The sequence below is a fragment of the Homo sapiens genome, chromosome 14, assembly GCF_000001405.40.
Source record: "Homo sapiens chromosome 14, GRCh38.p14 Primary Assembly".
In the NCBI taxonomy this organism is placed as follows: Eukaryota; Metazoa; Chordata; class Mammalia; order Primates; family Hominidae; genus Homo; species Homo sapiens.
The window spans coordinates 24,087,801-24,113,628 of NC_000014.9; the positions used below are offsets into that span (position 1 = coordinate 24,087,801).

A 25,828-nucleotide genomic window follows, 5' to 3' on the forward strand; every position below is an offset into this window, starting at 1 on the left:
GTGCAGAGGCTCATGCCTGTAATCCTAGCACTTTGGAAGGCCAAGATGGGTGGATCGCTTGAGCCCAGAAGTTCGACACCAGCCTGGGCAACATGGCAAAACCCTGTCTCTACTAAAAATACAAAAACTGAGGTGGGAGGATCAGGAGCCTGGGGAGGATGAGGGTGCAGTGGGCCATGATGGTGCCACTGCACTCTAGCTTTGGAGACAGAAAGAAACCCTGTCTCAAAAAAAAAATAATAAATAAATTATTGTCCTTAGGCCCAGGCAGGAGTGGCCCCTGCCCTGGGCCCTGTGCTTTAGAAGGCTCCACTCTGGCCTCCTCTGGCTATGTCCCACCACATGGGTGAGGAGTCCAACTATCCTCTGCCCATACCTTAATCCTCTCAGGACCACACTCCAGATAGCTAAGCATTCCCTGTCCAAAAGGCCCAAGCCCACTCCTAGGGCCCACGTGAACCTCTTCCCTGGGTTTGCCCTCCCACGGCTGGGCCACATGACTGGTTCACACATTCTGAGGTCAAAGGGTAGACAAGGGGTAGCTGCTTGCAGGAGACTGTGGACAGACTTGGGATGGCCTGATGGGAGGTCCACATGGTTCCACACAAGGCCCCTTGCAGTCCAAGATGGTGTCAGGGGTAGGAGGCAAAGTGGGCCCAGCTGAGGGCCAGTGGCCAAAACTACATCCCCCTACACCATCACATTCTGGTGCAGAACCCTGAGGATTCCAAATAAAATACAAATCTGAACCTGGCCTTCCAGGCCATTGTGAAGTATGTATTTGTCAATATATTTGTCAAGGTAGAAGAACAGAATATATTTTGTGTAACAGTTTGTTAGCCTGAATTATACTTTTTTTTTTTTTTTTTTGAGATAGCTCTGTCGCCCTGGCTGGAGTGCAGTGGTGTGATCTCGGCTTACTGCAACCTCTGTCTCCTGGGTTCAAGTGATTCTCCTGGCTCAGCCTATCAAGTAGCAGACATGCACCACCATGCCTGGCTAATTTTTTTTTTTTTTTTTTTTTTCACAGAGTCTTGCTCTGTCCCCCAGGCTGGAGGGCAGTGGCGCGATCTTGGCTGACGGCAAGCTCCGCCTCCCAGGTTCATGCCATTCTCCTGCCTCAGACTCCGGCTGGAACTACAGGCACCCGCCACCATGCCTGGCTAATTTTTTTTTTGTATTTTTAGTAGAGATGGGGTTTCACTGGGTTAGCCAAGATGGTCTCGATCTCCTGACCTCGTGATCCGCCCGCCTCGGCCTCCCAAAGTGCTGGGATTACAGGCGTGAGCCACTGCGCCTGGCCTAATTTTTGTATTTTTAGTAGAGACAGGGTTTCATGTTGGCCAGGCTGGTCTTGAACTCCTGACCTCAAATGATCCACCCGCCTCAGCCTCCCAAAGCGCTGGGGTTATAGGCATGAGCCACTGCGCCGACCCTGAGTTATACATTTTAATCTTTTTTTTTTGAGACAGGGTCTCGCTCTGTTACCCAGGCTGGAGTGCAGTGGTGCAATCATAGCTCACTGCAGCCTTGAACTCCTGGGCTCAAGCTATCTCCCACTTTAGTCTCCCAAGCAGTTGGGACTACAGGTGCACACCACCATGCCTGGCTACTTTTTTATTTTTTGTAGAGAAGAAGTCTCACTATGTTGTTCAGGCTGGTCTTAAACTCCTGGGCTCAAGTGATCCTCCAGCCTCTGCCTCCCAAAGTGCTGGGATTACAAGGCATGAGCCACCACACCCAGCCCATTTTAAATATTTAAACACAAGGTTTGAGGGCCTCTATTTGTACTCCTGCCGCAGGTCCTACATATGTTAGAGATGTGTCTACATAAAAACAAACCATTTAAACAGAGATGAATGTGCTAAGAAGAAGAAGGGCAGGGTGCTATGAAATTTTCTTCCACGAAGACATACTCTAATACAAAGCCAGAGGGGATGCATCACAGGGACAGGTTGCCTAAGAAAGTCATGCTAAACCAAGACTGGTCAGGTGAATAAGAAGTGACCCTGCCTGGAGGTGTGGACAGGGTGGGAATTCCAGGCGGCAGAAACAACATATGCAAAGGTTGTGAGGCAGGAAAGATGTAGACATGTTCACAAAACTGAGAAAAGATCCACGTAGCCAGAGAGTAGAAAGCCTGGAAGGTGGGAAGAACAGTGATAGCTGAGGCTGGAGAAGTCAGCAGGGGCCAGATCATGCAGAGCCTGGGAGGTCACATTAAGGGTTTGGGCTTTATTCTAAGAGCAGGGAGAAGCTACTGAAGGGTTTTCAGTAGAGACATGATGTGATCAGATTTGTGTTCGGAAGGATCACGTATGTCAGCACTTTGTGTTTGTGGAGGAAGGCAACAATGAAATAAGAGTCAGATTAGAGGACTAATGCCGTAACCAAGTTGAGCCTGAGGAATATTTGCAACTGGAAGCACACTCTGAGACAGAAACTTGTGTGCAGGTGGTTTACTCGGGGGGGGGGGGGGGGCACGGGGGGGGACTTTCAAAGAAAGAGTAGCAGGACCCAAGAGAGGGAACAGTTGAATGGCACTGCAGTTGTAATCAGCTGAGCCTAAAGAGCTCTGGGGCTGGGATGGACCTTCAGAGTTGTCCCAAACTGAGACAAAGGGCTAGGCCTCTGTACTTTATAACAACCATTCATTGGATACATACTGCCCCCAGGAAGCGGGCATTGCATTTGGTGAGACAGCTCCCTTTGGCCACAGATAGTGCTCAAGGAAGTACTCAGCTGTGAGCTATCAGCAGCCAACACTCAGCAGCTGGAACAATGAGCATCATGATCCTGAAGCGGGAATCTGGGCTACACACCACAGCATCACTACTCGGGCTGTGAGACTTCAGGGATGAACCCAGAGGCCCCAGAGAGGACAATGCAGATCACACTCTGCCCCCTGGTGGTACTCCTTGGACATAGGGCCAGCTGGTGGGCCAGGCTCTCCCGGCAGGGAACTAAAGAAAAGTGTGTGGCAGATAAGGGGAAATGAGCAGTGCAAGGAAATCTGCACGTGAGCCCCTTGCTCCATCTGCCTAAAGCTAGAGAAGAAAGTAATGGTGGGGAAGAAGAATTCAGAAACGTGGCACTCATTCATTCTTTTATTCAACCAACTTTTATTAAGTGCCTGTTATAGGCCAGGTACTGCTGGGAACTAGGAGAAAAACAAGACTGAAATCATCACTCTAGTGAGGATTACAGAGATATAAAAGTAACTACAGTATAGTAAAGTACAAAAATATAGGCATATACATGGGATAGAAGCAACACAGATGAAATAGATGTTCATTCTAAGGGACGAACAGAAAAGGCCTGTGTGTGTGTGTGTGTGTGTGTGTGTGTGTGTGTGTGTGTGTGTGTTAGAGACAGAGTCTCACTGTGTTGCCCAGGCTGGAGTGCAGTGGTGCGATCTCGGCTCACTGCAACCTCCGCCTCCCGGGTTCAAGCGATTCTCCTGCCTCAGCCTCCTGAGTAGCTGGGACTACCGGCGTGCGCCACCACACCAAGCTAATTTTTGTATTTTTAGTAGAGACGGGGTTTCACCATGTTGGCCAGGATGGTGTGTGTTTAATTTGAGTGCAGATGCCCAGAAAAAGTTCACAGAAGTGCTCTGGAAACTTCAGAGTTCAGTACGTAGGAGAAAAGGAGGCAAGTGGGGATGTGGGGGTGACAACATTAGATAAATAGGAGTCAGATTATGAAGGACATAAGATATCATGTGATGGAAAGAGCCTGGAAGAGATTTTAAGCTTAAGAGTGATATGATCTAATTTTTAATGGTAAATCAAGGGGACAGTATAGGATTTATAGGGAGAGGGGGACTTGGTAATTAGAGTCAGAAAGATATGGATTCAGATTCCATTTCTCCTGCTAACCATTTGTGTGACTTTGAGCAAATGACTCTTTTTTTTTTCAATATACACAAAGCAATTTTATTTGTATGTACTTGTGGTAAACAATTAGAACATTTCATTCATAATAGGATAAAAGTATAAAATATTCATGAATAATTTTTTTTCAGAACAGGAATGGAAGTTTATTAAAAAGCTTTAGAGCAGGAATGAAAGAAAGGAAAGTACACTTGGAAGAGGCCCAAGCAGGCATCTTGGAGGTCAAGTGCGGCATTTGACCTTTGATTTAGGGTGTTATATGTTGGCATACTTCTGGGGTCCTGCCTCCCTTTTTCCTTGATTCTTCCCTTAGGGTGACCGAGCAAATGACTCTTTAAGCCCGTGTCCACATATGTAAAATATAGTTGTGAAACAGAATGAGATTATGCATGCAGAGTTGCTGACACAGAGCCTGGCACCTACTGTCCATAGCATAAACATTATTCTTCTCTCTTAACTTTCCAAGTGGATTTGCATGCACAGTGTGGGGAGTGGCTTGGTAGGGAGAGGGGTTGGTGTTTGGAGAGGCAGGAGTCCAAGAAGTGCCTTAGAAGCTATCACCTGAAGCCAGGTGAGAGATAAGCCCTGAACTAAGGCCCTGGCCATGGGGATAGTTGCAGACTTGAGGGCTAATTGAGAAGTACAATTCCAAAGGTCCTGGCATCTGATTAGCTATGCAGGATAAGAATAGTCTAGACTGATTCCCTTTGGGGCAACTGGCCAGATGATGGTGCCATTTGCTGAGGTAGGAAACCATGAGAGCAGGTGCAGGATTATGGAGAAGATGATGACCTTCAGGTCAACCATGCTGCCACCAGTGTGCACACCTTTAGGCCCAAAGGTTGGCCAAGAGGTATGTGTTTGCAGCTGGGTAAGTGTGGACAGAGTTTGGATCTATGAACTGGGGGGAAAGAGATCCAAATACATATACCTGAGGTTGAGTGTAGGCTAGAGCCTGAGGGGGAAGAGACGGGGACCAGTAGCAAGCCCGTGGCTGGAGACCAGCTCTCCTTATCCCACTATGTTCCAGCATAGAACTCCAAGAAATCTGAGAATCAAGACTGTTTCTGTTGCAAGTGGCAGAACTCCAATTAAAATTAGCTTGAGCAAGAGAAGAAATGCATCAATTCCTGTAACTGAAATCAGGAATCCATTGCTCGCCATCTCCCTGCTCTGCTTCCTCTAGGCTGGCTTCTGTCTCAGCCAGGTTCCTGCTTTGCAGTGCCAAGCTAACACTCAGCAGCTCCAGGCTTATATTCTACCAGCTCAGCAACTCAGCAGAAAGAGAGCTAACTTCCAAAGTTTTAGAAAAAGTCCCAGAGAGGGATCTCATGCCCATCCTTGAACATCCTTGATTGCTGTGGCCAGAGTGAGGAACACAAAAGTTGGCTAAGCTGCAAGCCTACCCCCAAGAGGGGTGACATCAGACCCACATGACAATACAGACTGAGGAGATGGTTCCCCAAAAGAAAATCAGGGTGCTATTACCAGAAAAGGCGAGTGGATGCTGAGCAGACACCCATCATAGATATGCTGAGTTTGAGGTGCTATATAGCATTGTGGGTGATATCCAGTGGTCTCAGGTTGGAGAGAGATGTCCCAATGGAGGTATAGCTTGAGAAATCACCTGAGGACTTTATGATGGTAGTTGGGTGGGCAGATGAGTTTCCTCATTGGATTGTGGAGAGAAAGAATGACCAGGCCGGGCGTGGTGGCTCACGCCTGTAAATTCCAGCACTTTGGGAGGCCAAGGCAGGCGGATCACGAGGTCAGGAGTTGGAGACCAGCTTGGCCAGCATGGAGAAACCCCGTCTTTACAAAAAATACAAAAAATCAGCCGAGTGTGGTGGCAGGCGCCTGTAATTCCAGCTACTCTGCAGGTTGAGACAGGAGAATTGCTTGAACCCGGGAGGCGGAGTGTGCAGTGAGCCGAGATCGCGCCACTGCACGCACTCCAGCCTGGGTGACAGAGTAAGACTCCGTCAGGGGAAGAGGGGATGTGCCGGGGGAGGAGAATGACCAGATCAGAGGACCAAGGAAGAGACCCAGGGGTAGAGAGACTCCACCATTTCATGGCAAGGCAGAAAGGAGCCTTGATCAGGAGGAGAAACGGGGATTTAGGAGTTGGGGACTAAGTGGACCTTAGCATTGGGCACTTGGACTACAGAAAGGCCCAGGACTCAGGGTGTCGCGTCCCCAGGAGGAGGAACTGGAAAGGCAATGCCCAACCCCCTAACTTCTAGACGTCTGGCCCCTGTAGTCTCCCGCCCCTGGCCTCGCCCCTCGTTCCTAGCTTGTTTGCCACCTAGTGTCTCTCCCGGGAGCAAGAGTCCTCAAAGTTACATCATGTGCGGCTGGGAGGGCGGTGGCGGATGGGGGGCGGGGCCTCGAAGTCGGGGGCCGAAGAGTGGACCCAGTCCTCCAATGGGAGAGATGGGTTTGGCGGTTTGGAGGCAGGGGTTGGGGCGGCGGCTGGGCTGACCTGGAGCCTGGAGCCCCGGGGCCGAGGGAGCTGGCCTGCCAGCGGGGCGGAGGAAAGCTAGTGCCAGCCCTACCAGGTTCCGCCCCCGCGCCTGCCCCCCTCCTTTTTAAGCGCCTCCCGCCAGCCTCTGCTGTGGCTCGCTTCGCCGCGCTCCCTCCTTCCCCGCCTTCCATACCTCCCCGGCTCCGCTCGGTTCCTGGCCACCCCGCAGCCCCTGCCCAGGTGCCATGGCCGCATTGTACCGCCCTGGCCTGCGGTGAGTGACCCCCGGCCCGGGGCCCACCCGCACCTTCCGCTGCGCTCGCCCCCTCGGGGCTGCCAGTGGCGCTCTCCTGCTCTCAGCCTCCGCCAGGTTTCCCATCCTAGGCGGAGGCGGGCAGGGGCGACTGCTGTGGGTCCAGCCTCCCGCGCCGCGCGTCTCTTGGGAGGGCAGCCGGCCGGTGCTCCTCGTTTCCGCCTGCACCTCCCCTTCTCTGCCTCGCTCGCCTCTGACCGCGCGATCTCTATCTGCCACTCTCAGAACTTCCTCTCTCTCCTCGCTCCTCTCTGCTGAGCCAGGTCTCCGCATATCCTCCTTTCCTTCCCAGATACCTCCCTCGGACCTCTAACGGGCTCTCAGCCAGCGCCCCAGGGTACTTCGAGAGGCAGCAGGGCCCTGGGGACAAGGGTACGTGAGCCCCGGGAGACTAAGCTCAGAGCCCCCTAAAGAAGGTGGAAGGTTAAATATCCATTCCCGGCCTCTCCCGGACTGGAAGGACTGGAACCTGGCGGGAAGTCCAGAGCAGCCCGAGGGACCTGGGCCCAGGGGAGGGAGGCAAGCAAGGTGGGAGGAGGGCGCCAAGTTGCCTTCGTTTCTTACATAGCTGGCTTCTTCCTCCGTCCAGGCCTGGAGCCCCCAGGCTCGTCCTGTTTGTCTGCCTGTCCTCTTAGTCTCCTATTTATTCTCTGAGGCCTCTCTTCTCAGCTTTTGTCCCAGAGTCGGAAGTGACCCACATCTGTCGCACAGCCCGTTCCACTTGGGCAGCCCTTGTGGGTGGTCTCTGAAGGAAACGTCCCACTTAGAGGGCTGCAAGAGGGTGTGGGGGCTTCACAAGAGATAACGTGAGCCAGGCTCCAGGGAGAGAGAGGCTGTCCTCAAGACTGTGTGCTTGAAAACTGATGCTCACGGAGAACTTCCCTCTGAGGCAGGAACAGACCCAGGTCCCAGTAGCCCTCCTCCCCTGCCCCTGGGGCCACACTGATCATCTATCCTGCTTTAGCGGAAACCACCCCAGCTTCTACCCCAGACAGACTCAAGCTCCCGTATCCATGCTCTGAGCTTTCTTCCTTCCCCAGGCTAACACCCTCTGAGTCTGAGCTGCCAGCAAGCTGCTGTTCCACCCTCCCACCAACACCAAAGCTCTCTAGGCATGTGGCCTCTAGGAAGAAGAGCCAGGGGAAGCACGGGGTCACGTGGTCCTGGGTGTGGGGGCAGTTTCTGATGGGCGAGGCCTTGATAGAGGAGGAGAGTAACATCCCCTTCATGGTCTTTGCTCTCTCGGGTTTACTCCACCTTGAGTCCAGGCCAATCAGAGCAGACGTTGCTTCTCTGTCTCCCAGGGCCATGAGAGGACAGACAACAGGACGCTGACCTCCTGAGAATTAAGCCCATGAACCCCAGCCAGTGACACTCATTCCCCAGTGGTCAACCTTCCGCAGAGTTCAGAAATACTTACCCGAGGGCAACATTTTATGCAACCATTGTTGGTCCAAGTGGGCAGCAGCAGATCAGGGCCTGGAAGCCCAGCATCCAGTCACCTATTCTCTGTGCAAGAGCCCTCATCTAGAAACCTGGCACTGGAAAGACTGTGACCTTTGCTTGGGGCTTTCATAGTCTTACAGCATACACACCAGAAGGAAAGAATAAACACAGCTGCCATTTTAATTTATAAAAAACTATACTTGAAAATGGAAATAAAATGGATGAGGCTTCAAATACCAGACATATGAAATTGTCACCTGGGCCCAACTTCTTGTCTTGACACTTGGGCCAAAGGCCCCTACTCATTTCTTTTTTTTTTTTTTTTTTTTTTTTTTTTGAGACAGAGTCTTGCTCTGTCGCCCAGGTTGGAGTGCAGTGTCCCGATCTCGGCTCACTGCAACCTCCACCTCCCGGGTTCAAGCGATTCTCCTGCCTCAGCCTCCTGAGTAGCTGGGACTAGAGGCACACGCCACCACATCCGGCTAATTTTTATATTTTTAGTAGATGGGGTTTCACCATGTTGCCCAGTATGGTCTTGATCTCCTGACCTCATGATCCACCTGCCTCAGCCTCCCAAAGTGCTGGGATTACAGGCATGAGCCACCGTGCCCAGCCATCTCCCTACTTATTTCTAAACGTTGATTAAACAGTTAAACATGGGCATGGGCTACACAGGCAGTAACATCAGCATGCCTACATGTATACTTCCACACAGCCAGGCATGTGCCTTTTTTGCTCATTTGGCCATATCTGTCCCTCGCTGAGCAGGAGACACCCTCCTCAAGCCTCATAAAGGCTACAAGATACATGTGTCCTGAACACATCCCACACACCAACTGCAACCTGCTCTTCATGGTCCCTGCATGCAGACATGTTTTAGCAGGCTGCAGCCCAAGCTTTCTGTCTCTCCACCACCTGCCTTGTCCACTCTCGATGACAGCAACTAGCTCATTGCCTCTGTTTCTCCTATAGGCTTAACTGGCATGGGCTGAGCCCCTTGGGCTGGCCATCATGCCGTAGCATCCAGACCCTGCGAGTGCTTAGTGGAGATCTGGGCCAGCTTCCCACTGGCATTCGAGATTTTGTAGAGCACAGTGCCCGCCTGTGCCAACCAGAGGGCATCCACATCTGTGATGGAACTGAGGCTGAGAATACTGCCACACTGACCCTGCTGGAGCAGCAGGGCCTCATCCGAAAGCTCCCCAAGTACAATAACTGGTAAGCCTTGGGCTCCACAACCTGCAGGATAGGTGCACTGAGGCCACTTTGGGTTCACCAAGGCAAAATCAACTTAACTAGAACATCCCAATGGAATGAACAAGAATGAGAGCTTTGGGGTAAACAGACCCAGAAACTGGGATTTGCTTACGCCTATAATCCCAGCACTTTGAGAGGCCAAGGCGGGTGGATCACCAGGTGTCGGGAGTTTGGGACCAGCCTGACCAACATGGAGAAACCCCGTCTCTACTGAAAAAAAAAAAAAAAAATACAAAAATTAGCCCAGCATGGCAGCGCATGCCTGTAATCCCAGCTACTTGGGAGGGTGAGGCAGGAGAATCACTTAAACCCAAGAGGCGGAGGTTGCAGTGAGCCAAGATCGCGTCATTGCACTCCAGCCTGGGCAATAAGAGCGAAACTCTGTCTCAAAAAAAAAAAAGAAAGAAACTGGGATTTTTTTTTTTTTTTGAGATGGAGTCTCACTGTATCACCCAGGCTGGAGTGCAGTGGCATGATTTCAGCTCACAACAACCTCTGCCTCCGGGGAATTGTCTCAAGCAATTCTCCTGCCTCAGCCTCCGGAGTAGCTGGGATTACAAGCATGCGCCACCACACCCAGCTGATTTTTGTATTTTTAGTAGAGACAGGGTTTCACCATGTTGGCCAGGTTGGTCTCAAACTCCTAACCTCAAGTGATCCACCCACCTCAGCCTCCCAAAGTGCTGGGATTACAGGCATGAGCCACTGCGCCCAGCCTAGTTTGTAGTTTGTATTTTATTTTAATGTTAAATGAAGAAGCTGATATAAATAAGATCCTTTGCTTTTTTTTTTTTTCCTCACCAGTTCAGGGAGCTTTTGCCAGGGGCAGAGACCCCCAGAGGGCTGGGACCTTGGGGAACACCCCTTAGATGGGACAAAGCCTGGAGGAAGGGACTGAGATGTGATTGGGTGGGGAAACATAAGGCCAACAGAAGACCTGGAGTCAAAGTTGGACTTGAAAAAGTGGGTCTAGGGACAAGGGAAACCTGCTGGCCACCATCTTCCTGACAATCCCCTCTCCCCCAGCTGGCTGGCCCGCACAGACCCCAAGGATGTGGCACGAGTAGAGAGCAAGACGGTGATTGTAACTCCTTCTCAGCGGGACACGGTACCACTCCCGCCTGGTGGGGCCCGTGGGCAGCTGGGCAACTGGATGTCCCCAGCTGATTTCCAGCGAGCTGTGGATGAGAGGTTTCCAGGCTGCATGCAGGGTAACCAGGGCAGGGGCACAGTGGCAAGGGCACGGAAGATGTGAACAGGTTTGGAACCCTTCATCCAGGGGATGCCTTCCTCCACAGGCCGCACCATGTATGTGCTTCCATTCAGCATGGGTCCTGTGGGCTCCCCGCTGTCCCGCATCGGGGTGCAGCTCACTGACTCAGCCTATGTGGTGGCAAGCATGCGTATTATGACCCGACTGGGGACACCTGTGCTTCAGGCCCTGGGAGATGGTGACTTTGTCAAGTGTCTGCACTCCGTGGGCCAGCCCCTGACAGGACAAGGTAAGCACCTGCTCTGCCCCAAGGGGAACACAGAGGCCTTCTTGTACTCAGAGGAAATCCCAAATCCTACCTCTCCACAGACCCTAAGAACCTGTCCTCTCTGGCAACCTAATTCCCAAGATCCAGAGCAGCAGTCCCAGCAGAGGGATAAGGCTGTGTTTGCAGAGCACTTTGCACTAGGTTGAGAAAAATCCGTGTCCAAGAATAGGGGCATGGAAGCTGATGGTTATTATGAGGTGGGGGGCTTCAGCCACCTCTTGGTGCTGCTACTGCTCCCAAGTGTCTCTCCTGCCAATCCCTGATCCCTCTGGCCCCGACACCCCAGTTCCTGATGCTGCTGCCAGCAGCCCCATGACCCCATTGTCCCCAGGGGAGCCAGTGAGCCAGTGGCCGTGCAACCCAGAGAAAACCCTGATTGGCCACGTGCCCGACCAGCGGGAGATCATCTCCTTCGGCAGCGGCTATGGTGGCAACTCCCTGCTGGGCAAGAAGTGCTTTGCCCTACGCATCGCCTCTCGGCTGGCCCGGGATGAGGGCTGGCTGGCAGAGCACATGCTGGTGAGGGCCTGGTGAGAAGCAGGGCAGCTGCCGGGGACAGGGCAGGGGTGGGGCCTGGCCAGTCTGCCTCAGCCTCACCTCCCTCCTGCCAGGTGCCAGGCTGGTGGGCGGGGACTCTACTTGAAGGCCCAAAGCTTTGGCCTCAGGCTGCTGAATGTTGAGGTTTCCCCTGCCACTAACCCAGGCCTGATGGCAGGGCAATCACTTATATAGTTAATAAACATTGGTCCTCCCTATTAGACCCTAGCTGCCCTTCCCCATGCAGACCATGCCCTGACTTTTGGTGACCTCTTTCTTATTCCCTCTCTCCCCAATGCACAGATCCTGGGCATCACCAGCCCTGCAGGGAAGAAGCGCTATGTGGCAGCCGCCTTCCCTAGTGCCTGTGGCAAGACCAACCTGGCTATGATGCGGCCTGCACTGCCAGGCTGGAAAGTGGAGTGTGTGGGGGATGATATTGCTTGGATGAGGTTTGACAGTGAAGGTGAGGGACTCTCAGATCATACTCTTGGTTCTGGCTCTTGTCAGAGCCTCGGGGTCTCCTCTCTAGTGTTCACAATGACTTTGTCAGTGAGAAAGTTTCCTGAACACCCAACCCTGCTCCATTCCTCTGGCAGCCCAGCCACCCGAGAGACAGCCTTTCCTCATCAGATCTTGGGTCCATCTCAGGACAGGGGTGGGTGGAGCAGGACCTTCTTTGGTCTTACATCTCAAGTTTTCCTTGTTTGGTCCTTCCTTTCTTTCACTTCTCCTAACAGGTCGACTCCGGGCCATCAACCCTGAGAACGGCTTCTTTGGGGTTGCCCCTGGTACCTCTGCCACCACCAATCCCAACGCCATGGCTACAATCCAGAGTAACACTATTTTTACCAATGTGGCTGAGACCAGTGATGGTGGCGTGTACTGGGAGGGCATTGACCAGCCTCTTCCACCTGGTGTTACTGTGACCTCCTGGCTGGGCAAACCCTGGAAACCTGGTATGTGCGGTGGGGAAGGTGTGGCACAGCCTCCAGGCCTCAGCACCTTAATGGTGGAAAAGCTTTCTCCACAACCTCCAACCATCTTCTAGGACTGCCAGGAGGCACAGAAGTCATGAACGTTTGCAGTTTCCAGTCCCAGGCAAAATCTCAGTTCATGTCCCAACTCCACCAGTCACTGGTTTTGTGATCTGGCTAAGTTGCTCAACTTCCCTAAGCTTTAGTTTCCACATCAGTTGAATGAGGGTAGTTGTGATAGTACCTATCTCATGAGATTGTTGGAGGATTAAATAGTGCATAAAAAGGGTTTATCACACTGACAAATACACAGTAAATTCTCAATAATAAATACAGGCTGGATTTTTTTTTAATGAAAGGAAAAGGAAGGACTTTTGAACATTCTTACAGAAGGTATTGGGCTCCAAGCACTATCCATAAAGTTTGGCCCATTAGGAAAAGAGGAAAGCTGCCTCCTCTGCTCCAACTCTCCTCCTGCCACTTGGCTCCCACTGTCCCCTGTATAATAACCACTGTCTAAAGGTCAGTATTGTTACCGTCACCCTTCCCCTGTCCCTCCAAAGCATTCACCCCAATCCTTCCTACAAACAAAATCAGGTCAGTGCTTGAGTCTTTCCCAGAAGCTAGTTTCTGAATCCTGTCATTACCCTGGGCGCCTGGGAGTCCCACCTCTCCCTCAGCCCTGCACTCTGGACCTTCAGTATTCTTTCCATGGCCTTCTGCAGTCAGGCAGTCCAGACACCAAGAGGCAGGGGCAAAGAAGAGCATGGGAGGGGAGGCTGGCCTTGTAGTCACTGAAGCCTATATTCAGGTTTGCCAGGCTGGCCTAGCAGTCACCCTCCTTGCTTCATCTAATCACCCTTTATTTTTACTAACACCATCATTAAGCCCCCCTCAGCCTTCCCACCCAACTGAGAAATCCAAGAAACTTTCATCTTTCCCCACAGGCTAGTTCCCCAACCCTTTCATCATCTCCAGATTTGGGGGCATAACTAGGGCATCTTGTCCCCAGCTTCAATTCCCAGAATAATACCCTGTGTTAGGATTCTGCACTGGGTGCTGAAGAAGGATGGCTCTTATCTGCAATGGCGGGCAGAAGCTGGCGGATGGGAGAGGGTGGGGATTTTGGCCCCGTGGCTTCCCCACTCCCCAGGTCTGACCAGCAACCTCCAGCAGAGAAGGCACCATGTCCACTCAGGGGCCACACAGTGGTGCTTCATACATGTGCCACTGACTTAGTCCCAACCCCCCTCCAGGACACCTGAAGGTGCCAAGTGTGACCTGGGCTCCTGAGGTTATCCCTACCCATGTGATATCCCTATCTCTATTTTTCCAGCCCTATCACTTCATCAGGGTCTAAGCAGGGCAGGGAAATCACCAACATGTTGTTAGCTTTAAAATCAATTCCTTGCAGGGCACAGTGACTCACATCTGTAATCCCAGCACTTTGGGAGGCCGAGGCAGTTGGATCACCTGAGGTCAGGAGTTCGAGACCAGCCTGGCAACATGGCAAAACCCCGTCTCCAATAAAATACAAAAATTAGCCAGGCATGGTGGCTCATGCCTGTAATCCCAGCTACTCAGGAGGCAGGAAAATTGCTTGATCCCAGGAGGCAGAGGTTGCAGTGAGACAAGATCATGCCACTGCACTCCAGCCTGGTGACAGAGTGAGACTCCGTCTCATAACTAAATTAATTAAGTAAATAAAATCAGGCCAGGCGCAGTGGCTCATGCCTGTAATCCTACTACTTTGGGAGGCCAAGGTGGGCAGATCAGTTAAGGTCAGGAGTTTGAAACCAGCCTGGCCAACATGGTGAAACCCCATCTCTATTAAAAATACAAAAAAATCAGCCAGGCATGGTGGTGGGTGCCTGTAATCCCAGCTACTGGGGAGGCTGAGGTAGGAGAATTGTTTGAACCTGGGAGGCGGAGGTTGCAGTAAGCCAAGATTGCACCACTGCACTACAGCCTGGGCAACAGAGCAAGACTCTGCCTCAAAAATAAAAAGATAAAATAAATTCCTATTTGCATTTGGATAACTTAGGAGAACCTGTCTTCCCCGGTTTGCTGACGGAAAGTCAATTGTCTGAAGTACTAAGCTGACATTCTCAGTTTTTGCTTTAGGTTTGGGTATTCATTTAAATAATAATCTCACAAATAATGAAATAGTTTCTGGGGGAAAAATTATTATAACCTTATGCCCATATCTAACCCCATTCCCTTGAGCCCTGGTCAGTGCCAAGTGCCAGTAGCTTGGCACAAACATTAGTGCCCTGCCAAACCCCAATTCCTCTCCCACTCTTTTCTCACATAGCTCAGCTGGCCGCACCTTCATGGCTAAACAACCTGAGCTCTTGGAGATGCCCTGGCTCCCCTCTCTCTGCTCCTTATCACACAAGGTTCTAGGCAGCTGATGAGGCAAAAAAAAAAAAAGAACCCTGCAAGAATGTGTGCCCATGTATGTGTGTGTTGGGGGTCGACATGACCTTGGAAATAATAGTGTTTGTATTTCCTCTGCCAGGTGACAAGGAGCCCTGTGCACATCCCAACTCTCGATTTTGTGCCCCGGCTCGCCAGTGCCCCATCATGGACCCAGCCTGGGAGGCCCCAGAGGGTGTCCCCATTGACGCCATCATCTTTGGTGGCCGCAGACCCAAAGGTAAACAACATATGAGCTCCATGTTCTTGGCAAAAGGGCTATCTCTGTATTAGGGCCTACCTCCCTCCCTCTGATCCAGAGCCTCAGCCTGGATCTCACCTTTCTCCAGAGTTCTCCCCTGGTGAATGCAAACTTGGGAGGAGGCAAAGGGTCTGAAAATGGGATAGCCGAGGTCTTAGGAGAGAGAGTACCAGTCAAGCTCACCAGAAGGGCTGGAGTTAGGGTCCAAAGAAAAGGGCTGCCTGTGACTCTGTTCATTGGTGATCTAGGGGTACCCCTGGTATACGAGGCCTTCAACTGGCGTCATGGGGTGTTTGTGGGCAGCGCCATGCGCTCTGAGTCCACTGCTGCAGCAGAACACAAAGGTGAGCACCCTCACCATTCCTCCCTCTCCTGTGTGTGCACACAGCACGTCCTCTCTCCCTTCCTGAGCCAGACCTTCCTTTTGTCCACCCCTGGAGTCTGATATGGCCCCACCTCTTCCCACTTCTATCTTTTCCCCATCCCTGAAGATATTCAGAACCATAAGCCTTTCACAGCTTCCTCCAACTGGATGCAGGGTGCCCTTCCCTACCCCAGTGAGAAGGAAGATTCCTTACCCATCTTGCTTCCCCCCCAGGGAAGATCATCATGCACGACCCATTTGCCATGCGGCCCTTTTTTGGCTACAACTTCGGGCACTACCTGGAACACTGGCTGAGCATGGAAGGGCGCAAGGGGGCCCAGCTGCCCCGTATCTTCCATGTCAACTGGTTCCGGCGTGACGAGGCAGGGCACTTCCTGTGGCCAGGCTTTGGGGAGAATGCTCGGGTGCTAGACTGGATCTGCCGGCGGTTAGAGGGGGAGGACAGTGCCCGAGAGACACCCATTGGGCTGGTGCCAAAGGAAGGAGCCTTGGATCTCAGCGGCCTCAGAGCTATAGACACCACTCAGCTGTTCTCCCTCCCCAAGGACTTCTGGGAACAGGAGGTTCGTGACATTCGGAGCTACCTGACAGAGCAGGTCAACCAGGATCTGCCCAAAGAGGTGTTGGCTGAGCTTGAGGCCCTGGAGAGACGTGTGCACAAAATGTGACCTGAGGCCCTAGTCTAGCAAGAGGACATAGCACCCTCATCTGGGAATAGGGAAGGCACCTTGCAGAAAATATGAGCAATTTGATATTAACTAACATCTTCAATGTGCCATAGACCTTCCCACAAAGACTGTCCAATAATAAGAGATGCTTATCTATTTTACACAAGATTTGTGCTGTTTTCATTTCCCACCTATCTTCACAGGCTTCCCTCTAACACCTGTCTCACAATCATCTTCTTCCAGCCCCTAGAAGAAGCACAGCCTGGCACAATCAAAGATCTGTTTTACAGGTAGCTCTAGCACTGGGTCACAGACATAGGAATTGCTGGGAGAAGGCACTATCCACTCTATGTCCTGAGTTCTTAAAAAAAAAAAAATGGTGAGGCTGGGTGTGGTGGTTCACGCCTGTAATCCCAGCACTTTGGGAGGCTGAGGCGCACAGATCACGAGGTCAGGGGATTGAGACCATCCGGGCTAACACGGTGAAACCCTATCGCTACTAAAAATACAAAAAAAAAAAAAAAATTAACCGGGAGTGGTGGCGGGCGCCTGTAGTCCTAGCTATTTGGGAAGCTGAGGCAGGAGAATGGTGTGAACCCAGGAGGCAGAGGTTGCAGTAAACCAAGGTCGTGCCACTGCACACTCCAGTCTGGGCAACAGAGCGAAACTCCGTCACAAAAAAAAAAAACAAAACAAAACAAAACAAAAAAAAAACTGAGGGCCTCAGCAAGCTGCTCAGTACAGCCCCCAAGCCTAAAATTCCTGATCTCCCACTTAGATTGCAGAAGCCTCTACAACTCCATTCTCCAGTGAAGTGGCTTCATTGTCAGTTCTCGAATTTGTTCTTCCCCCTGCCTGACCTGGCACTGGGAGCTGCATAGTATTCATGGAAGCATATTCAATATTAGGACAGCTAACAACACTTCTGTGGCACCTTCTTTATGCCAGGCACTGCTGAGACCAGCTCTGTCAAGGAGACCCTAACCCAGCAGTGCTAGAGGAATTAAAAACACGCACACAGAAATATAGAGGTGTGGAGTGGGAAATCAGGGGTCTCACAGCCTTCAGAGCTGACAGCCTCGAACAGAGATTTACCCACGTGTTTATTGACAGCAAGTCAGTGATAAGCATTGTTTTTATAGATTAACTAAAAGTATTCCTTACGGGAAACAAAGGGATGGGCCAAAATGAAGAGATGGGCTCTGGCTGGTTATCTGCAGCAGGAGCATGTCCTTAAGGCACAGATCGCTCATGCTATTGTTTATGGTTTAAGAATACCTTTAAGCGGTTTTCTGCCCAGGGTGGGCCATGTGTTCCTTGCCCTCATTCCGGTGAACCCACAACCTTCCAGTGTGGGTGTCATGGCCATCACAAACATGTCACAGTGCTGCAGAGATTTTGCTTATGGCCAGTTTTGGGGCCAGTTTATGGCCAGATTTTGGGGGCCTATTCCCAACAAGGCAGTGTTCTAAGCACATACCTAACAACCCTTTGGGGGAATTACCATTTTACAGATGAAGTAACAAAGGCACAGAGAGGTCAAGTAATTTGTCCAAAGCTTCACAGTTAGTAAACAATAGAGCTAAGGGTTAAAGTGATAAAACTGCAAAGACATGTCTTTCATAGTAGTATAGACATCTACAACTGCAAGGACCTTAGAAGTCACCTATTCCACCGGGCGCAGTGGCTCATGCCTATAATCCCAGCACTTTGGGAGGCCAAGGAGGGCGGATCACCTGAGGTTGGGAGTTCAAGACCAGCGTGGCCAACACGGTGAAACCCCTTCTCTACAAAAATACAAAAATTAGCTGGGCATGATGGCAGGTGCCTGTAATCCCAGCTATTTAGGACAATCACTTGAACTCAGGAGGCAGAGGTTGCAGTAAGCCTAGATCATGCCATTGCACTCCAGCCTGGGGGACAGAGCAAGACTCTGTCTCAAAAAAATAAAAAAATAAAAAGTCACCTATTCCGTGTTTCTCAAACTTAAAAGTGCCTTTGAATCACCTGGAGATCTTGTTAAAATGCAGATTGTCACTCAGCAAGTCTGTAGTAGCCTCAAGATTTTGTTTTCCTTACAAGCTCCTGGGTAATGCTGATGCTGCCGGTCTGCGAACTACAGTTTAGAGTAGCCTAAATTCATCTGAAATAAACTTTGGAGAGTAATCAGGAAAACAGTGCAATGATCTCACATGAGTCAGGGGCATCAGCTTAGGATAACTTCTGTGCAATCTGGATCAGGCTGAGAGAATGTATAACCTAAGGTGGGTAGTGTGGTAGTCTTTACCCAGAAAAAGGGAACAAACTTCAACAAATAAAATGGAATTATTGGGAACTCCCTCAAAGGAAAAAACTAGAAGAGGAAACACCAAGTGTTCTCATAGGAAATGCCAGTGACCAGCCAGAATGTGTAAAAATCTAAAGGTCAGAGTGGAACAGAGGTTAGAACAAAGTTAGCAGTGGAGTATATTGTACTTTAAAACACAGCCAGCCAGGCGCGGTGGCTCACACTTTGGGAGGCCGAGGTGGGCAGATCACCTGAGGTCAGCAGTTTGAGACCAGCTAGACCAACATGGTGAAACCCCATCTCTACTAAAAATACAAAAATTAGCCAGGCATGGTGGCCCATGCCTGTAATTCCAGCTACTCAGGAAGCTGAGGCGGGAGAATCACTTGAAACTGGGAGGCTGAGGTTGCAGTGAGCTGAGATCACACCACTGCACTCCAGCCTAGGCGACAGAGTGAGACTCTGTCTCAAAAAAAAAATAAATAAATAAATAAATTTAAAAATTTAAAAATAATAATAAAACACAGCCAAATCCTTAGCTTCATAAATAGCATATGATAACTGAATACCGTCAAAAGCAACATAGCACAGGTATTAAACACATAGTAGACTTGAGCCAGAGGTGCCTCTCAGTTGCTTCATCTGTAAAATGGAAATGCCTACACTTTACAGTCTTGTTGGGAAGATTAAAAGAGTCAGTGGAATAAAGCACTCAGAACTATGCCTGGCACCGAATAACCATTTAATACATGTTAGCTATCATCACCTTTCCACTTTATAATGATTAGAGTAGGCCCTGTAAGCGTATATTACATATTGCTGACTCTACAGTTTAAAAGGAACATGAGCAATGTAAATAAAATCTAGGAGAGAAAGAAAATAGATTTAAAAATAAATCCCTCCAGCTAAGAGGCAGGGAACTGGGGTTCCAGGCACCTTTCTGGTATCTTCTAAATGCACAGGGACAAGAAAGTGTTAGCCTTAAAAATTATTTTTATTAATTAGAATAAAATGGGGCTGCATGCCCTTCAGCTCCAGATAACTGATAAAATATAGTTAACACATTATAATCTTTTTATTTTAAAATAAAACACAGATACAGAAGACCATCTAAAACAAAGTTATGGCTGAATAAACTATCATAAAGTGAACACCTTTGGAACACTACCCAGGGAAAGAAACAGAACTTTGCAGACACCAACCCAGCCCCGCCCCGCCCCGACCCTGTTGCCCATCTCTATCATAGCCACCCCTTCCTGCCATAGTGGATACTATGGTGAGTAATAATTACTTCTTTGCATTTTTTTATAGTTTGATCACCTAAATGTAGATCCTTAGACACTATAGTTTAGCTTTGCTCCCATTTAAAATTTTTTTCATATGTCTTTCAAGTCTCTATCAGTCTACAGATTCCCCCTCCATTCCTTTCTTTTCCTTCAATTTACCCATTGACGAATCCAGACTCAGATGTTCAGTGTCTAAATGCATTAACTCACTAGGGATTGCAAAACAGCCATATTTGAGTTGTCATAACATTGCAATAATTTTATAAAATGGACACTTCTATTTCATTACCCTATGGTATTGTTTATATAGAAACAGCAGGATAACTGCTTAATTCTTTATCTTTATTTATCATCTTCAAAAAAATGATTTGATTTCCTATTATCCTTTGAAAAGGTAACCAGTTAGTTACACACAAACATTATGAACTCATGGATTTAAACATACTTAGTGTTTATTAAATTGACCTTATTAAATGTTCAAATTGTCCCACATTTGGCTATGGAAGCTAGGCCAAAAAGAGCTGAGTCCTTTTGACATGATACATACTCCTTGCTTCCCGGCTATCTGGTATAAGTTGCTCCATGCTCATTGTGTTCATTTCCTTCCCCAAACCTGGAATCAGCTTTTTCTCTAAGAAGCTCTGGCTTCTTTCAGGGGGAAATGGCGTTTTAAGACCACAATCTGGATGCTAGGAGTGTTCATTGATACTGGATTGGTCATTGTTTCTAGATCTTTTTGGTGGATAGCGACAGAAGATAAAACCTCATGAACTCATACTGACATGTTCTATTCAAAATCAGGGCTAAAGGGTTTTCTGGAAACATGGTCTTGCTTTGTTGCCCAGGCTGTAATGCAGTAGCGTGATCACAGCTCACTGCAGCCTTGAATTCCTGGGCTCAAATGATCCTCTTGCCTCAGCCTCCCGAGTAGCTACAGGTGTAAGCCACCACACCTGGCTAATTTTTTTTTTTTTTTTAGAGATGGGGTCTCACTATGTTGCCCAGGCTGGTCTTGAACTCCTGGTTTCAAGCAATCCACCTGCCTCAGCCTCTCAAAGTGCTGGGATTACAGGTGTGAGCCACTACCCCGGGCCACTAAAGGGTATTTACTTATATTACATCTATAGCTCCTACCCTACACACAGAAAAATCTGATTCTTACAGACACAAGACATGAGAGTATTAGAACATCCCATAGTTACTTAGTGGCTTTCTAGTCAACACATTTTAAGTCCCTAGGTAAATTATTAGCACACTCTCCATTTCCATCGACACAGAGAATACTATAAGGCAATGTTCAAACACATGTATGAGCATCAGTCACTCCAAACACGGAACTGTCCCAGGAGCTCTGTGTGGTCACCAAGCTGGGAGCTGCAGTAGAGGAGAGGAGGACAGGGTTAGCTAGAGAATGAAAACACTCCTTTCCTTCTCTCCTCAGCAGCCCAGCCTGCCCTCTAGTGGAGATGCTAATGAGCAGGAAACAGGCCAAGACAGGTCAGGCAGGAAGTCAACTAGCTGACATTTACTTAGCAATTACCAGAAATTGTCCTAAAATGGGTGCTGAAGGTAGAAAAACCTCTCTGTGGCTTTAAGTGACTTTAAGTGCAACTGGAGAGAGTAGAGGTTACCCAAATGAAAAGTGCTTCACAAACTGTAACCACGCAACGTACCAAATTTCAAAATCAAGACAGCATAGGCAAAATTTAGTCTATCAAAATGACTTCACCATAATTATTTTTAAAGATATGCCATTTTATTTATTTCAATAGACACACTGTATACCCTAAGATATAAATGCTCTTACACATTTTGAAAAACATTACAGGTCATAGTGAGATAATCAAGTTCATAGGCTTAAAAATCTTTTATATGCTGCCAGGCGTGGTGGCTCACACCTGTAATCCCAGCACTTTGGGAGGCCTAGGTGGTCAGATCATGAGGTCAGGAGATCGAGACCATCCTGGCTAACATGGTGAAACCCCGTCTCTACTAAGAAAAATACAAAAAATTAGCCGGGCATGGTGGCGGGCGCCTGTAGTCCCAGGTACTCGGGAGGCTGAGGCAGGAGAATAGCATGAACCCGGGAGGCGGAGCTTGCAGTGAGCCGAGATCGGTCCACTGCACTCCAGCCTGGGTGACAGAGCAAGACTCCATCTCAAAAAAAAAAAAAAAAAATCTTTTATACGCAAAAAAATTAATCAATGAATCCAGTGATTAATCTTATATTCTTTCCCATGTGATGTGAAGGACTCAATTTTGTCATAAAACCTCAGTTATTTTAACATTTACCATGACTTTTAAATGTTTTACTCAATAATGTACAAGTTCCATATTACAAAAGCTTGAATTAAAAGATTTTATTCAGGTTTAAACTAATTTGTAAGAAGAAGAGAAAAGAGAATCAAAAAATGAATTGTTAAGGAGATAAGTTTAACAGAAGTTTTTTGTTCGTTTTTCTGGACCTCAGGTGCTATAGCTGTATTCATCATAATCCTTTGTAGAAGCTACACCTTTGTCACCAGTTCATGCAAGCCCTCCCCACTTTGTTTAATGATGTAATGAGCTGGGTATTATTATACTTTTTTTTTTTTTCTTTGAGACGGGGTCTCATTCTCGCCCAGGCTGGATGAAGTGCAGTGGCGCAATCATGGCTCACTGCAGCCTTGACCAGACTCAGGTGATCCTTCCACCTCAGCATCCTGGGTAGCCAAGACTACAGGCCCAGCTCAATTTTGTTTTTGTATTTTTCGTAGAGATGGGGTTTCGTCACATTGCCCAGGCTGATCTCAAATTCCTGTGGTCAAGCGAGCTGCCCGCCTCAGCCTCTCAAAGTACTGGGATTACAGGTGTGAGCTACCACGCCTATTATACTTTCTAATGAAAAAATGAAACCACATCGTTTTTGCATCTATTACATGTCACCAGAAGAAATGATTATCTTTATTTTTTTAACTTGACAATGTAGTTTGCACAATTTCCTATGGTATAAAAATAGAAGGCTACAACAAACCTATACCAGGAATAGGTACCTTAAAAAAAAATTGAAGACTACAACACCATTTTAATAGCTACCTGGTATTTCTGTGTCTATACTACATGGACCATAATTTATTTAACAATCCCATATTGCAAGATATTTAGATCTTTGTTTCCAGTGTTCCACTTTTATCAATAATTGCTATGTAGAACATAAATTTTTATGCATGTCCGGCCTAGATTTCTGGAAGCAGTATTACTGGGTCAAAGTGCAAGGCTGTGAGGAAGGGAGTTTTGTAGACAGCTTCCCTCTAATAAGAAATTCTCCTGGGAAGGTGCAGAGGTAAAAATAAACAAGCTATTTATTGGCATATTTGCTTAGCAGAAATATCAAAAAATGAGGTTACTAAAAATAGACATCCAGGTTTGGAAGTTTGTATTTGAAACAATGAACAATAGTGAGCCATTTGTTGATTTTCTTTTAGAGACAGTCTTTAGCTCTATCCCCAGGCTGGAGTACAGTGGAGCAATCATGGCTCACTGCAGCCTCCACCTCATAGGCTCAAGATTCCCTCCTTCATCCTTCCCAAGTAAGTTGGGACCATAGGCACGCGCCACGATGGCCGGCTATTTTTTTTTTCTTTTTGTAGACTGGGTCTCACTATGTTGCCCAGGCTGGCCTTGAACTCCTGGCCACAAATGATCCTCCTCCTCGGCCTCCCACAGTGCTGGAATTACAGTCGTAAGCCACCGTGCCCAGCTCACTTGTGCGTTAAGCACTAAATGCTGTTAGAGGAGGATTCTTCAGCAGATCAACTACCGGAAGAGGCATAGGTGTTTTTTGTTTGGTTGGTTGATTGTTTTTTGTGTGTGTGTGACGGAGTTTCGCTTTTGTAGCCCAGGCTGGAGTGCAGTGGCGTGATCTCGGCTCAATGCAACCTCCACCTCCCGGGTTCAAGCGATTCTCTTGCCTCAGCCTCTCGAGTGGCTGGGATTACAAGCGCATGCCACCACACTCGGCTTTTTTTTTTTTAGTGACGGGGTTTCACCATGTTGGCCAGGCTGGTCTCGAACTCCTGACCTCAGGTGATCCACCCGCCTTGGCCTCCCAAAGTGCTGGGATTACAGGCGTGAGCCACCGCGCCCGGCCAATTTTTTTAAAAAATGATTCCGTCCTGAGACTTTGCTGAAGTTGCTTATCAGCTTAAGGAGATTTTGGGCTGAGACGATGGGGTTTTCTAGATAAACAATCATGTCGTCTGCAAACAGGGACAATTTGACTTCCTCTTTTCCTAATTGAATACCCTTTATTTCCTTCTCCTGCCTGATTGCCCTGGCCAGAACTTCCAACACTATGTTGAATAGGAGCGGTGAGAGAGGGCATCCCTGTCTTGTGCCAGTTTTCAAAGGGAATGCTTCCAGTTTTTGCCCATTCAGTATGATATTGGCTGTGGGTTTGTCATAGATAGCTCTTATTATTTTGAAATACGTCCCATCAATACCTAATTTATTGAGAGTTTTTAGCATGAAGGGTTGTTGAATTTTGTCAAAGGCTTTTTCTGCATCTATTGAGATAATCATGTGGTTTTTGTCTTTGGCTCTGTTTATATGCTGGATTACATTTATTGATTTGCGTATATTGAACCAGCCTTGCATCCCAGGGATGAAGCCCACTTGATCATGGTCGATAAGCTTTTTGATGTGCTGCTGGATTCGGTTTGCCAGTATTTTATTGAGGATTTTTGCATCAATGTTCATCAAGGATATTGGTCTAAAATTCTCTTTTTTGGTTGTGTCTCTGCCCGGCTTTGGTATCAGAATGATGCTGGCCTCATAAAATGAGTTAGGGAGGATGACAAATGGGATCTAATTAAACTAAAGAGCTTCTGCACAGCAAAAGAAACTACCATCAGAGTGAACAGGCAACCTACAACATGGGAGAAAATTTTCGCAACCTACTCATCTGACAAAGGGCTAATATCCAGAATCTACAATGAACTCAAACAAATTTACAAGAAAAAAACAAACAACCCCATCAAAAAGTGGGCGAAGGACATGAACAGACACTTCTCAAAAGCAGACATTTATGCAGCCAAAAAACACATGAAGAAATGCTCATCATCACTGGCCATCAGAGAAATGCAAATCAAAACCACTATGAGATATCATCTCACACCAGTTAGAATGGCAATCATTAAAAAGTCAGGAAACAACAGGTGCTGGAGAGGATGTGGAGAAATAGGAACACTTTTACACTGTTGGTGGGACTGTAAACTAGTTCAACCATTGTGGAAGTCAGTGTGGCGATTCCTCAGGGATCTAGAACTAGAAATACCATTTGACCCAGCCATCCCATTACTGGGTATATACCCAAAGGACTATAAATCATGCTGCTATAAAGACACATGCACACGTATGTTTATTGCGGCACTATTCACAATAGCAAAGACTTGGAACCAACCCAAATGTCCAACAATGATAGACTGGATTAAGAAAATGTGGCACATATACACCATGGAATACTATGCAGCCATAAAAAATGATGAGTTCATGTCCTTTGTAGGGACATGGATGAAATTGGAAACCATCATTCTCAGTAAACTATCGCAAGAACAAAAAACCAAACACCGCATATTCTCACTCATAGGTGGGAATTGAACAATGAGATCACATGGACACAGGAAGGGGAATATCACACTCTGGGGACTGTGGTGGGGTCGGGGGAGGGGGGAGGGATAGCATTGGGAGATATACCTAATGCTAGATGACACGTTAGTGGTGCAGCGCACCAGCATGGCACATGTATACATATGTAACTAACCTGCACAATGTGCACATGTACCCTAAAACTTAGAGTATAATAAAAAAAAAAAATGATTCCGTCACATTCTGGGAGAACGCAGGTAAAATCAATCAATAAATAAAGATCCCGATTTTCCAGGCTGGATAACCCAGAAACCACGGAATCCTAAAGTCTCAATAAACGTTAAAGCACAGATAGTAAGTAATCTGGCAATAGAGGATGGGCGCCCAGCAGACCGCCTACATAATCAGTGGAGCCGAGTGCAAGATGAAAATACCAGGCACTTGCTTTAAAATTACTAATAATTTC

General features: G+C 48.3%; 2 protein-coding genes across 14 annotated transcripts in view, besides 6 other annotated features; one reads left to right on the forward strand and one right to left on the reverse strand.

Annotated features, from left to right (window-relative positions):
* Window positions 1-25,828, reverse strand: part of NRL (neural retina leucine zipper) — a 36,288-nt gene that overhangs the window by 9,139 nt on the left and 1,321 nt on the right. For 2 of the 7 annotated variants that reach the window (XM_011536806.3, XM_011536801.3), the window contains exon 1: window positions 6,668-6,970. The exons of 3 other annotated variants lie outside the window; for them this stretch is intronic. In XM_011536806.3, coding sequence (XP_011535108.2) covers window positions 6,668-6,946 — 279 coding nt within the window. In that variant the 5' untranslated portion in view covers window positions 6,947-6,970. Of the gene's footprint in view, window positions 1-5,384; window positions 5,709-6,667; window positions 6,971-7,237; window positions 7,331-25,828 lie in introns of those variants that run through there. 2 more of the 7 variants (NM_001354769.1, XM_011536805.3) reach the window with 2 other exon arrangements.
* Window positions 1,200-1,699: an enhancer, noted in NCBI's record as "H3K27ac hESC enhancer chr14:24558209-24558708 (GRCh37/hg19 assembly coordinates)". NCBI's record gives its function as "activates a minimal SCP1, AML or CMV promoter by ChIP-STARR-seq in naive H9 embryonic stem cells {active_cell/tissue: H9 hESC(naive)}" and the evidence as "EXISTENCE:reporter gene assay evidence [ECO:0000049][PMID:30033119]".
* Window positions 2,615-2,664: an enhancer, noted in NCBI's record as "active region_8186". NCBI's record gives its function as "activates an Ori minimal core promoter by ATAC-STARR-seq in GM12878 lymphoblastoid cells {active_cell/tissue: GM12878}" and the evidence as "EXISTENCE:reporter gene assay evidence [ECO:0000049][PMID:35858748]".
* Window positions 6,277-6,526: a silencer, noted in NCBI's record as "silent region_5622". NCBI's record gives its function as "represses an Ori minimal core promoter by ATAC-STARR-seq in GM12878 lymphoblastoid cells {active_cell/tissue: GM12878}" and the evidence as "EXISTENCE:reporter gene assay evidence [ECO:0000049][PMID:35858748]".
* PCK2 (phosphoenolpyruvate carboxykinase 2, mitochondrial) lies at window positions 6,371-16,325 on the forward strand. 7 transcript variants are annotated; one of them, XM_047431429.1, is made up of 11 exons: window positions 6,371-6,454; window positions 6,966-7,045; window positions 9,092-9,337; window positions 10,403-10,587; window positions 10,675-10,878; window positions 11,249-11,436; window positions 11,758-11,920; window positions 12,195-12,413; window positions 14,953-15,090; window positions 15,360-15,455; window positions 15,710-16,325. In XM_047431429.1, the coding sequence occupies exons 4-11, from the start codon at window positions 10,530-10,532 to the stop codon at window positions 16,162-16,164; spliced, it is 1,521 nt and encodes a 506-aa protein (XP_047287385.1). In that variant the 5' UTR covers window positions 6,371-6,454; window positions 6,966-7,045; window positions 9,092-9,337; window positions 10,403-10,529; the 3' UTR covers window positions 16,165-16,325. The 7 variants fall into 7 exon arrangements, with proteins under 7 accessions (XP_047287385.1, XP_047287384.1, NP_001294983.1 ...); XM_047431428.1 differs by lacking the exon at window positions 6,966-7,045; NM_001308054.2 differs by lacking the exon at window positions 6,371-6,454 and having other exon boundaries at window positions 6,511-7,045.
* Window positions 6,534-7,183: an enhancer, noted in NCBI's record as "NANOG-H3K27ac-H3K4me1 hESC enhancer chr14:24563543-24564192 (GRCh37/hg19 assembly coordinates)". NCBI's record gives its function as "activates a minimal SCP1, AML or CMV promoter by ChIP-STARR-seq in naive H9 embryonic stem cells {active_cell/tissue: H9 hESC(naive)}" and the evidence as "EXISTENCE:reporter gene assay evidence [ECO:0000049][PMID:30033119]".
* Window positions 6,837-6,906: an enhancer, noted in NCBI's record as "active region_8187". NCBI's record gives its function as "activates an Ori minimal core promoter by ATAC-STARR-seq in GM12878 lymphoblastoid cells {active_cell/tissue: GM12878}" and the evidence as "EXISTENCE:reporter gene assay evidence [ECO:0000049][PMID:35858748]".
* Window positions 20,980-21,274: an enhancer, noted in NCBI's record as "tiled region #2696; HepG2 Activating DNase matched - State 5:Enh, and K562 Activating DNase unmatched - State 5:Enh". NCBI's record gives its function as "activates a minimal TATA promoter and a strong SV40 promoter by Sharpr-MPRA in HepG2 and K562 cells {active_cell/tissue: HepG2 | K562}" and the evidence as "EXISTENCE:reporter gene assay evidence [ECO:0000049][PMID:27701403]".